Source organism: Homo sapiens, chromosome 5 (genome assembly GCF_000001405.40).
Source record: "Homo sapiens chromosome 5, GRCh38.p14 Primary Assembly".
NCBI classification, from domain to species: Eukaryota; Metazoa; Chordata; class Mammalia; order Primates; family Hominidae; genus Homo; species Homo sapiens.
This window is the reverse complement of record NC_000005.10, coordinates 172604488-172617632: the sequence shown is the minus strand read 5'-3', so window position 1 is coordinate 172617632 and position 13145 is coordinate 172604488. Positions and strand designations below refer to the sequence as shown.

General features: G+C 44.4%; 1 long non-coding RNA gene across 1 annotated transcript, besides 1 other annotated feature; it reads left to right on the top strand.

The window, feature by feature from the left end:
• Window positions 96-1012: an enhancer, noted in NCBI's record as "H3K4me1 hESC enhancer chr5:172043624-172044540 (GRCh37/hg19 assembly coordinates)". NCBI's record gives its function as "activates a minimal SCP1, AML or CMV promoter by ChIP-STARR-seq in primed H9 embryonic stem cells {active_cell/tissue: H9 hESC(primed)}" and the evidence as "EXISTENCE:reporter gene assay evidence [ECO:0000049][PMID:30033119]".
• On the top strand, window positions 791-11717 carry LOC105377729 (uncharacterized). Its single transcript, XR_941229.2, has 3 exons — window positions 791-867; window positions 10169-10374; window positions 11579-11717. It is a non-coding gene; the product is annotated as an uncharacterized LOC105377729 (long non-coding RNA).
• Window positions 11718-13145: the final 1428 nt, after the last annotated feature.

The window sequence follows — 13145 nt, the reverse complement described above, 5'->3', positions numbered from 1 at the left end:
TTCTCCTGCCTCAGCTTCCTGAGTAGCTGGGATTATAGGGATCCACCACCACGCCTGGCTAATTTTTGTATTTTTAGTAGAGACGGGGTTTCACCATGTTGGCCAGGCTGGTCTCAAACTCCTGACCTCAGAGGTTCCTCCTGCCTCGGCCTCCCAAAGTGCTGGGATTATAAGCGTGAGCCACCACGCCTGGCTGAGTTAGGAAATTCTGTTTGGGTCCAATCGGTGGAACTGTGAGGAAGGCACAACGGGAATGACCAGGGGCCCAGGGCCAGCTTGTGCAGCTGGAGATACAGGGAGGCAGCCGAGCTCCCCTGGGCCTGCAGTCCCAACGTGAGGGGCACTCCTGGCATTAATTGTGTCCCTAGGAGGTCTCTGTGGAAAAATAGCCAGTGTGGGTCCCTAGGGGAATAAAATAGGGGTGGGGAGACACACGGGCGTGTGTGGGTGTGTGCAGGGGGGGATTTTGTGTTATACCTATGAAGCGTAAACCTCCTCTACCTGAAAGAAGCTGATAGAATCGGGGAAAGGGGCGCAGAAAGAAAACAGCGAAGCCCTGTTTTTCCAGGGCTTGGGTGAGACTGTGAGTCAGCGGGTGGATCAGGATAGGGAGAGCTCCAGCTGGAGCCGCTCAGAGCAGCCCTGGGTCTCTCAGGGAGACTCACGGGGGTGGCCTCAGGCTGGAATGCGCCCCTCTGCGTTCCTCCCACGCCCCCAGCGCAAATCAGCTCCGCAGGAAGCTCCACTGACCGCCTCCTCCTTCAGCGCTGATGTCATACAAAGGGAGCACCCACTGCGTGCCACACAGCGTGCTGTGACAGTCACTTGACCCCGGTATCTCACTGAATCCTCCTAACAGCCCAAGAGGTAGGGAATAGTATTCTCCTTTTATAGATGAAGACATTGAGGCTCAGGGAAGTTAAGTCACTTGTCCAAAGCAGCACAGAAAGTCAGTGGTGGGGCTTCTGGGGGCTGTAGAAACTTTCCATGGACAATTTGACAATAGGTAGTAAGAGCCCTTTTGACTCCAGTTGCTCCACTATTAGAAACTGAGGCAAGGAATATACCTGGGCATCAACATCTCAGCTCTAAGGCTATCCTGGGCAGCATTCTTCATGATAGTGAAAAACTGGAAACCACATTTCAACCACAGGGGATTTGTTAAATAAACCCCAGCGATGGAATACTACACAGCCACTAAAAATGGTGGACAGATGTGGCTTGCTAATGTGGAAAGCATTCACAAACGACAGAGACAAGGTTTGAAGTTCTGAGATTCCATTCCTGGCTCACTCACTCACTAGCTGTCAGGCCTCGGGCGAGAGGTTAACACTTTCTTCATTTTAAAATGGGGATAGATCAAGCATTTCAGGGCTTTTGTAAGAATTGTAAGTGGATGAGTTAATATGTGTAAGTGCTTAGATTAGCATCTGGTGTGTAGTAAACAACTATGAACGTTCACTATTAGATCTGGGTTTAAACAATGTCAGCTATTCTTTCTTCAGATGTTTCTTCTGTCCTTCACTCCTCTAATTACACATATATTAAGCTGCTTGAAGTTGTCTCATAGCTCACTGATGTGCCATTCATTTGTTAAAAAAATTATCTTTGTGTTTCGTTTTGGATAATTTCTTTTGCTTTTTTTTTTTTGAGACAGAGTCTTGCCCTGTTGCCCAGGCTGGAGTGCAGTGGCTCAATCTCAGCTCACTGCAACCTCCACCTTCCGGGTTCAAGCGATTCTCCTGCCTCAGCCTCCCGAGTAACGGATGCTACAGGCGCCCGCCACCATGCCTGGCTAATTTTTTGTATTTTTAGTAGAGATGGGCATTTCACCATGTTGGCCAGGCTGGTCTCGAACTCTTGACCTCAAGTGATCCACCTACCCCCCAAAGTGCTGGGATTACAGGTGTGAGCCACCACGCCCGGCCTCTTTTGGATCATTTCTATTGCTATGTCTTCAAGTTCACTAATATTTTCTTGTACCATTAATCCCATCCAATGTACTTTCTCACACAGGAAGTTTTCATTTCTAGAAGTTTGGGATTTTTTTGGTTACGAAATTTATTTTTTAATTTTTAATTGACAAATACAATTGTATGATTTATGACGTAAAACATGATGTTTTCATATATGTATACATTGTAGAATGGCTAAATCAAGCTAATTAATATATGAATTACCTCACATACTTATTTTTTGTGCTGAAAACACTTAAAATAGACTCAGCTATTTTCAAGCATACGATATATTGTTATTAACTATAGTCACATGACATACAGAAGCTCTCTTGAACTTATACTTCCTGTTGAACTGAAATTTTGTGTCCTTTGACCCACATCTCCCCACTTCCTCCATCCCTCAGCCTCTGCTAACCATTTTCTGCTTCTATGAGTTTGGCCTTTTTAGATTTCACATATAAGTGAGAGTATGTGGTATTTGTCCTCCTGTGCCTGGCATATTTCACTTATCATAATGTCTTCCAGGTCCATCTATGTTGTCGAAAATGATAGGATTTCCTTTTTTTTAAAATGATAAATAGTATTCCATTGTGTATGTACACCACATTTTCTTTATCCATTCATCGATGGATGGACACTTAGGTTGATTCCATAGCTTGAGTATTTTGAATCATGCTGCAATGAATATGGCAGTGCAGATATCTCTTAACATACTCACTTCATTCTGTCCTGTAGGTTATCTGTTCAGTCTGTGGATTGTTTTCTTTGGTGTGCAGAAGCTTTTTGGTTTGATGTAATCCCACGTCTATTTTTGTTTCTGTTGTCTATGCTTTTGAGATTATATTGAAAATATCACTGCCCAGACCAATGTTGTGGAGCTTTCCCCCTATGTTTTCTTCTATTAGTTTAATAGTTTTAGGTGTTACATTTAATTCATTTTGAGTTGATTTTTGTACATGGCGTGAGATGAGGGTCTAATTTTATTCTTCTGCATGTGGATATCCAGTTTTCCCAATATCATTTATTAAAGAAACGGTCTTTCTTCATTGTGTGTTCTTGGCATCTTTGTTGAAAACCAATTGTCTGTAAAAGTGGAGGTTTAGGGGCCAGGCATGGTGGCTCATGCCGGTAATCCCAGCACTTTGGGAAGCTGAGGCAGGGGGATCAATTGAGGTCAGGATTTGGAGACCAGCCTGGCCAGCATGGTGAAACCCCATCTCTACTAAAAATACAAAAATTAGCCAGGTGTGGTGCACACATTTGTAACCAGCTACTTGGGAGGCTGAGGCACAAGAATCACTTGAACCTGGGAGGCAGAGGTGGCAGTGAGCTGGGATTGCTCTACTGCACTCCAGTCTGGGTGACAGAGTGAGACTCCATCTCAAAAAAAAAAACACAAAAGTGTAGGTTTATTTATGGACTCTCTATTCTGTTCCATTGATCTATGTGTCTGTTTTTATGCCAGTACCATGCTGTTTTGATTAATATAGCTTTGTAGTATATTTTGAAGTAAAATAGTGTGATGCCTCCAGCTTTGTTCTTGCTCAAGATTGCTTTGGCTCTTTTGGGTCTTTTGTGGTCCCATATGAATTTTAGAACTGTTTTTCTATATTTGCGAAAAATGTAATTGGAATTTTGATAGAGATTGCATTGAATCTGTCAATCACATTGGGTAGTATGGACATTTTAACAATATTAATTCTTCCCATGTATGAACATGAGATATCTTTCCATTTATTCATGTAACTTTCAGTTTCTTTCATCAATGTTTTATAGTTTTCAGTGTACAGGGCTTTCACCTCCTTGGTTAGATTTACTACTAAGTATTTTATTTCTTTTTGTAGCTATTGTCAATGGGATTGTTTTCTTGATTTCTTTTTCAGATAGCTTATTGTTAGCATATGGAAACACTACTGATTTTTGTATGTTGATTTTGTATCCTGTAACTTTACTGAATTCATTTATTCTAATAGATTTTTTAGTGGAGTCTCTAGGATTTTCTTTGTGAAGCCTCTGTGCCCCCATCAAGATTTGTCATCTGCAACCAGAGATAGTTTTACTTCTTTCTTTTTGATTTGGATGCCTTTTCTTTCTTTCCCTTGCCTAATTACTCTAGCTAGAACTTCCAGTACTACGTTGAATAGAAGAAGTGAGAGTGGGCATCCTTGTCTTGTTCCAGATCTTAGAGGAAAAGCTTTCAACTTTTCACCATTGAGTATGGGGTCTAGAAGTTTATTTTATATCTTTCATGTCTCTAATTAACTTTTCAAACATACGAAACACAGTTACAATAAATGTTTTAACGTCATTGTGTGCTAATTCTAATATCTGTGTCAGTTCTGGGTCAGCTTTTATTGATTGATTTTTCTCCTCATTATAGTTATATTTTCCTGCCTCTTTGCATGTCTGGTCATTTTTTTCTTTTCTTCTTCTTTTTTTTTTTTTTTCTGTTAGATGCCAGACATTGTGAATCTTACCTTGTTGGGAACTGGATATTTTTGTATTCCTGTGTTCTGGGACAAAGTTAAGTTACTTAGAAACAGTTTAATCCTTTCAAGTCTTGCTTTTAAAATTTAATAGGCTGGATCTGAGCAGAGTTTAGTGCAGGGCCAACTATTCTCGGCAGCTGAGGTAAGACTTTCAGTAGTATCCTATCTAATGCTCTGTCAATCATGAGGCTTTCCAGTCTGGCTGGAGAGAACAGGTGCTGGTCCTGGCCCTGTGCGAGCACCAGGCGCTGTTCCATCTAAGTCACTTGGGTGGCTCTTTCCCAGGCTCAGATAGTTTCTTCACGTGCATGCACTGGTCAATGCTCAGCTGAATACTCAGGGGAGACCCTCCAACTTTCCCTGGAGGTCTCTCTCTCCATGAGCTGTCTTCTGTCCAAAACTCTGTTGTGTGAATTCTAGCAGCTTCAACCTCCTTGGACTCTCAGCTCCATCTCTTCAATCAGAGAGACTGTTGGGGTCTCCGTTGTACTCTATGCTATGGCCTAGAAACTCTCTCCAGCCAGTAAGTAAGCTTGGCCTCATTTGTTTCCTGATGTTCTAGGATTGCTCTTCTTTGTTGCCCTATGACCAGTGTCTTGAAAACCATTCTTTTGTATATTTTGTCTGGCTTTTGGTTGTTTCAGATGGGAGGGTAAGTGCAGACTGTGTTATTCCATTGTGGTCGGAAGCAGAAGTCCTGCATTAGCTGTTATTAATGAATGACACTAACCCCCACACTCTTATTGCCTTTTTCAGGGTCCAAGACCTTTCGAAATATGAGACACAGAGAGGTAAAGGTGGCATAGCTACTAAGCGATAGAGCCAGAATTAGCACCAGGCTTGGTTGACCCAAAGTTCCTTCTCTCTAATACAACTACTGCCTCTGGGCAGAGTGCTAGTCCGAACCAGAGTGGCTGAGAAGGAGGGCCAGGAGCTCGGGCTCATGGTTCCAGCCCTGAGGTCACACTCATCAGCTGCAGGGTGGGCTGGGACTGAAGGCCAAGCTGAGACAGGACAAGGCTCTGGGGGCTCTGGCACCCACGTCAGCAGTCCTGCCTGCTTGCCCCGTCTCCTGGACCTTGGTGTTCCAGGGGTCAGGGGTGGGGCCTTGCTGGCCTCAGCAATTAGGGTGGGGCTGCCAAGTGCAGATAACAAGCAGAGGCAAGGGCAGCGGAGGGGCTGTGGGGTAGCCGCCCATGCCCACAGCTCCTCTAAGCCCTGCACGGCTGTGGTGTGAAGCGAGGGGAAGGAGGTCTGTCTCCCTGAGCCTCCTCATTCATCTGTGTGCTGAGTGAGCAGATCTAGAAGGCCCTTTTGAGTGCTTGGGTTGAGGTCTTGGTCAAAAAGATCCCTTCTTCCACTGAGATGCTACCATGTTTGCTACCAAAGAGAAAATAAGGAAGGGATGAAAAAATGAATTGCCAAAGTCTGATGATTGTCACTAGCCTTGACCATCCTGCAAGAGTCCCTCCAGTCTAAAAGGAAGGCATGTCCTTTCAGCAAAAGAGAACCTGCATCTACAGACAGACCTGGGCAAGTGACCTCATCTCCCTGGGCATCAGTTTCCTCAACTGTTTCTTGTTGTTAGAGAAAGAGTCTCACTCTGTGGCCCAGGCTGGAGTGCAGTGGTGCAATCACAGCTCACTGCAGCCTCGACTTCCCAGTCGCAAGTGATCCTCCCACCTCAGCCCCCACCTAGTAGCTGGAACTACAGGCACATGCCACCATGCCTGGCTAAATTTTATTTTATTTTATTTTATTTTTTTGTAGAGATGGGGTTTTGCCATGTTTCTCAGGCTGGTCTCAAGCTCCTGGGCTCAATATGATCCTCCTGCCTCTACCTCCAAAGTGCTGGGATTACAGACAAACCATGGCGCTCAGCCCTCAACTTTTAAATAGGAATCAGAGTTCTCGGTATGACTACGAGGATTAGTTACAATAACTTATGTCAGCTCTAACCCAGGTCTGCCCCAGAGGAGGTACCTAGGAACTATCTGTAGAATGAATGAATGAATCAATCAATTACTGAATGAATGCATGCACATTTAGTCACAAAGCCATCCTGCCTGCTCACCCCCAAGGTTTGCAAATCTCCAGTTCTCCCCAAGGGACGCCCAGGTCTTCTCAAGCCTGCCCCTCCCACCTGGTATCTATCTTCCCACTCTCACCCCAAACCCATCCTTTCTCCCCAAGCACAGGAGGCTGGTCACTATATTCCCTCACCTCAAATCTGTCCCAGGAAACCTGCAATCATGGGCCCAAGCAGCACTAGCCTTTATTTGAACTCAACCGTCTTACAGGCGTCCCCTTGGAACTCCAGGGGCTGGGAAGCTGTTTCCACGGTCAAGTGTTATTTAGTTCCCAATGGATGCTGCTGACCCGTCAGAGCTGTGACCCTCAGTCTTCCAACACACCCTGTCCCTCTCAAAAAAAGGACTTGGCATGTTAATTGGATCGTTGTTTTTATTAAACATAATGTTTTACTGACATGGAGAAAACCCAGAAAAGCATGAAGGAAATGAAATCCGAAGACAATAAATAAATAAATAAAACTTTAAAAGTCACTGGTAGTCTCAGAGATAAGCCCCTGCTCATATTTTAGTGTTTATGCTTCCAGTCCTGTTTTCTGTGCCGGAGTTAGTAAGGAGCAGAGGTATGTTTTAATAAAGGTAATTTTAAAAAGGTTTACAGATAGCATGCTTGTAAGAAAGCCTTTACGGTAAAAAGAATTTATAGTAAAAAGTAAGCTTATATATTTTGTTCCTGCCTGAGTTCTCCTCTTTTCCTTCCCTAGCAATAACTGATGCTAACGCATGCTTGTAGAGACTTCTAGAGAATCTATGCATGTACAAGTGTGTGTGTGTGTGTGCGCGCGTGAGTGTGCAGGCATATATGTGTGCTTGGTATCAAAATGTGCCTATGGTTCTGCAAATGCTGTCTTCACTTAGTGGCCCTCAGGAATATTTCTCGTGTCAACCAAGAAACACTCCTCCCCAGTCTGATTTTTAATGGCCACACAGTATTCTATGGGATGGATGCACCTTCGTCTATTGAGCCAATTTCCAACTGTGGGACGTTTTGGTTGTTACCAATTATACATTTTCTTTTCTTTTCTTTTCTTTTTTTTTTTTTTTTTGAGACGGAGTCTCGCTCTGTCGCCCAGGCTGGAGTGCAGTGGCGCGATCTCGGCTCACTGCAAGCTCCGCCTCCCGGGTTCACACCATTCTCCTGCCTCAGCCTCCTGAGTAGCTGGGACTACAGGTGCCCGCCACCATTCCCGGCTAATTTTTTGTATTTTTAGTAGAGAGACGGGGTTTCACCATGGTAGCCAGGATGGTCTTGATCTCCTGACCTCATGTTCTGCCCGCCTCGGTCTCCCAAAGTGCTGGGATTACAGGTGTGAGCCACCACGCCCGGCCACCAATTATACATTTTCACAACCACCCAGGGTTGTTAAACTGGGACATGCTAGGCTCTCTCGGGGGAAGAACCCTGGTTTGCAGTGTTTGCAAAAAAATTGTCTTAGTGTGAATATTCCCACCATGACCGATTTCAAGCTACCAATATCACTGAAGCTGCCAACATGTCACCGAGAGAGCAGCACAGTCCTTGAGAGCCTGTGTGAGCTGGCTCTGGCACACCAAAACCTCACCAATGACTCTCTTCATAACTGTGTCCCTAATTATTTCCTTAATAAACTCCCCAGGGTGAAAGGGCTGTGTCGAAACATATGCACAACCCCAAGGCTTTTGATGCGCAATACCCCCTTACTCTCCAGAAAGACGTTATCAGTATGTGCTCCACCAGCCTCGTGCAGTGCGAGAGATGCCTGTTCATCCCTCCCCACCCCTCCAACAATGGCTATTATCAGGGCTTTAAATCTTGCCCATCTGATCGATGGAATACTAGTAGCTCCTTGCTATTTTCATGTGCATCGTTTTTAGTGAATAACTGTTTATAAACTTATGGTCAAATGAAGTGTTAGTTGGGCAACTTTAGGGACATTTCATGAAGCCCTTGGGGATTATAGGTGTCCAGAAAGCAACTTTGGAATCATGGCTTTGATGCATTGCTTTGCTCATTAATGAGATCAAATAGGAGATCCATTCCTCCACCAAACAGCATCAAAGCTTTTCCCAGAAGGCACCTTGAGGCATCGCTCAATCCCATATTGTCATGATTACCTCACCCCCTATGACATCACCCCCTCCTACATTTATCTCCAGCAAGAACACCTGGAAATGCCACACCATACACTTAGCATGCTGTAGGAAATGACACCAACTCAGACCTGCGCTTAGGCAAGGCCGAGTTGGGCAGCACAAAATATCCAAAGTGCTTTACAAATAAAGGAGACCTGGAGAGGTGGAAGGTCTAACTGAACTCAGCAGCTGTGTGATGTTGGACAAGTTATTTCACCTCTTTGAGCCTCTGTGCCCTCATCCGCAAAAGGGGGGCAAGGTGGGGTTGGGATAGTATGGCCCATGCAAGACTGTGGTAAGAATTAAATGAGCCAAAGCATTTTAAGTGCTTAGCACAGGGCCTAGCACATAGTAGGTGGGCAGTAGGTGACAATCATCATCATCATTATCACACTGTCAGAGTGCTTTGTAAAATGTAGGAATGGGAAGTAGTAATATCACATACAATCCTTCAAGCTTCCTCTAGCCCCTCTGCTCTGGACCAGGCAGGTCACCACGGACCTTGCACATCCAGCTCCAAAGCCAGTCTCCTCTGGGATGAACTGGACCCCTTTTGGATTCTTTGGCCCCAGTGCCTTCATTTGACCAAACACAACAACTTTTCTGAGAACAGATCTAAAGTCTTCTTCCAGGAGCTTCCTCTATCAGGTCTTTTTTGACTTTGCAGGGGTTGGGACAAAAGTGTCCTGATGGGGCTCCTGCCTCCTGTCCCTCCCCAGTCAATCTTCCCTCCCTGAGATGGTTTCATGAGTGTCCCAGCACACAACCTGCCTGCTATCCATCCATCCATCCACCCATCCATCCATCCATCCATCCATCCATCCATCCATCCATCCACTCATCCTTCCAACAAATTGATTACTCATCTTATCCTTAGCTGTACAATACGGAATTACTGAAATCCATGCACTTACCAGGAAGTCTAATTTCAAGCAAATTAAAAAACAAAACAAAACCCTCCATCCCCCTGACTGTCACGCTCTTGCTCCTGCTCATCTCTCTGATTTCACCTGTTAACCACCCATCTACCATATTCCAGCAACTCAGTTGACTTGCAGCTCCTTGAACCCTCTAAGCTATTTCTCTACTTGGCCTTTCTCCATGCTCTTCCCTTGGCCTGGAAGGCTTTTATCTCATCTCTTTGCCCTTATTTAGTTTCCAGAATAAATGGTATTTCCTCCAGAGGGACTTGCAGCACTCCAACCCAAACGAAATTATTCCCACTTCGTTATGCTTCCTTTATAGACTTATCATAACATGTAAAGATGTATTTTCTTTGCATTTTTACTCACTTAATGCCTCTCTCTTCTGTAAGACTATAAGCTTCTTGAGGATGGGGATTCTGTCTGCTGTGTTCATGGCGGTGGGGCCAGAGCTCTGAGGCATGCCTGGCAGTGTGTATCCTCAAGATGAATTTGTTGAATGAATGAAGCAATATTTAGTCAAAACTCAGCTGAGAGAAATGGTATTGAGCAAGGATTGTGTGCGTCAAAGACAAGTTGTCCATCTTCCTTTCCAGATATGCTCCAATCCACCCCTGGGGGCAGCCAGATGAGAGCCTGCCAGAAGAAAGGACTCACCACAGGGACTACAGCTGAAAACCTGAAACGTCCTTTGGCAGGAAAGCACAAATATCTGGTGAGACAGGATGAGAACATGAAACCTCTGCTACGGCCACTGCAAGAATATTGGTTATTACACAGTGTCCACACTGTGAGAACATTGGTGAGATTCTTGTCTTAGAACTAGGAGATGAGTTAGAGCCCAGCTCTGAATTTAAACAATCTGTATTACCCAATCCTTGTCCCACCAGTTGTATGACTGTGGGCAGTTGTAAACTTTTCTTTCCCCATTAAGTGGGGATAATAATAGTCTCTGCCTTGTGTAGGTATATAAGGAATAGTAAACACCGACTAGATGCTAGCTATTATTACTATTCTCTTGGGTAACTGGTTTGTTCAAATGGCATGATCGTTGTGATTTATATAACTGACCAAATTTCCATTTTCATGCTGGCTGCTAGGAAGCTCAACATTGATTCCATGGCCCAACCACAGCAAATATCTAGGTAATCAGGGTTTTTTGTGTGAATGGGTTTATTCATGGCTTCATTTATGTCCCAGCTCTATCATTTGTTCCTTCTCTTATTCTACTATTTACATGTGTAGCTTGCTCTAACTTATGTGCCCTTGAAAACTGCCTTTAATCATTTTGGTAAGAGATTGGGTATTTTGTATGAGAATGTTCTGCTTATGTGGCTACCTGTGCCTCCTTAGTGAAAGTGTGAGTCCCTGGACAGTAGGAACCACCTCTGAGGCACTTTTCAACCCCCTCCGCCTTAGCCCCACTGTTTAGCAGCACATTCCATGCTGAGCAGACAAGTAGATGAAAAGGGCAAAAGGCCAGTGAACTCAAAGAAGCTCCCTGCCTCGGCAACAGGAGAGGAAATAGCTGACCCAGGAGGTCTCTGCTCTCTCATGTCCATAAAACTAAAAACAACTGCATGTGGGAAAGGCCAATGACCATTGCTCAAATTTCCTGTGCTTCAAGACCAAAGAAAGCAGTGAGGATGTCTGGAAGAAGGGGTGGACAGCCGGGGGAAATCTGATGGTCCCAGAGCTGCCTCACTGCTGGCCAACATGAGGAATCCAGCTTCATTTTGATTCCTGATAGTGGCAGAGATTCCACTGACTAACAGGCTCCCTCACCAACAGCCATGTCATCCTCCTCTTCCCAGACATGCAGCACACAGACCACCTTTGCCAGCCCGCCTTTCCATTAATTGTGGCAAGGAACTTATTTCTGGCCAGTGGCTTATGGGCAGAAGTTATGGGTTGTGGGTGAAAGTGTGTCACTTCTAGTCTTGGCCCATAGAAACTTCTCATACCCAATTTTAACTTTTTTCTCCATCACCTGCTGACTGGAGAAGACTTTGACATTCTAGAGGAGGGCAGAACCACATATAGAAGAAGCCTGGATCCCTGAATGACTGCATGGATTCAACACAGCACCTATACACACACCTGCCCTCTGTGCCCCGATAATCTACACTAGAGGACGATGTGAGCAATACATAAAATGTTATTATGTTAAGGGATGTAGGGGTTGTTTGTTACAGCAATCTCACTGATGAATCCCATGAGATCTACTACATGCCAGAAATCATCACAGGCATTTTATTTACCTTATTCCACTTGAGCTTCTCAGCAATCCTAAGATATAGGCATTATATTTGGTCTATTTTATAAAGAAAAAAAATACAATTCAGAGGCATGAAGTAACTTGTCCACTAAAGCAATGGAGAACTGCATTCTTCAGTCTCACTCCATTGTTACTTGATCTGTTTTGATATTACATCATCAGCCTGTATAGAAGGACATTAAAGAAATAGCTATAGGAAATTGAAATTTTTTTACTAGCACATAGAATTATTATTTATTATATCACACAAATGTCTTTTTAGGGAGAGCCATTAAGTAATTTTATCTCAAGCCCAATACCAGGAAAACTGCTTCTCTGATCAACTGGTATGTTTTTATTTTCAAGGACAATAAATCACAAAAACATGATTCCTTCTTTGCTTTGGCTGCTGGGAATCCCAAGGTAATGTTTTAGGTCCAACTCTAGTCGTGGTACAGGGTCATTAGAACCTGTGCTCTGTAGACAAACTTTACCTTTGTTTCCATTACTTGGTGTCTCTTATTTTCCAAAGATTCTGACCTCCTGCTTGATTCTATTTATCTATATAACATTTTCCCTTTTTTTTTTCCTTTTTTGAGACAGGGTCTCACTCTCTGTCACCCAGGCTGGAGTGCAGTGGCTCAATCACAGCTCACTGCAGCTTCGACTTCCCAGGCTCAAGTGATTCTCCCACCTCAGCCTCCCTAGTAGCTGGGTCTACAGGTGTGCACCATCATGCCTGGATAATTTTTTTTTGGTATTTTTGCATTTTTTGTAGAGATGAGTTCTCGCCATGTTGCCCAGGATGATCTCGAACTCCTGAGCTCAAGCAATCCACCTGCCAAAGTGCTGGGATTACAGGCCTGAGTGACTGCACCTGGCCACATTTTGCATTGCTAATGTGTTCATAGAAGAACCTTAAACACTCTTTGGAATCAGGTGAAGGATAAAGAAATACGGGACTTGCTCAGGATTTCACAACTATTTAGCATCAGGGTTAGGATTCAAGCCCAAGGCTGAAAGCAGAAGGCAAGGCCTATCGACTTTGCCAGGGTGCTGGGGCCTGAGTTTGCTCAAGTGGGTACTGACATGCCCTCTGGAAACAAGGCTTCTGGAGGGACCACGAAGATCAGGCCTGCCTCTTACTAAATGCTGGGCTTAGGTGGAGCCTGCTGTCACGTGGTACTTCAGAATGAACCAAAGGTTAACAAACAGCAGCCGAGGACCCCACATGCCCTGCCGATGGATTTAGCTTGGCCCATCAATATTTTAAAGAGTAACTAAGTCACCATCATTTGAAAATAATATTTCACCTT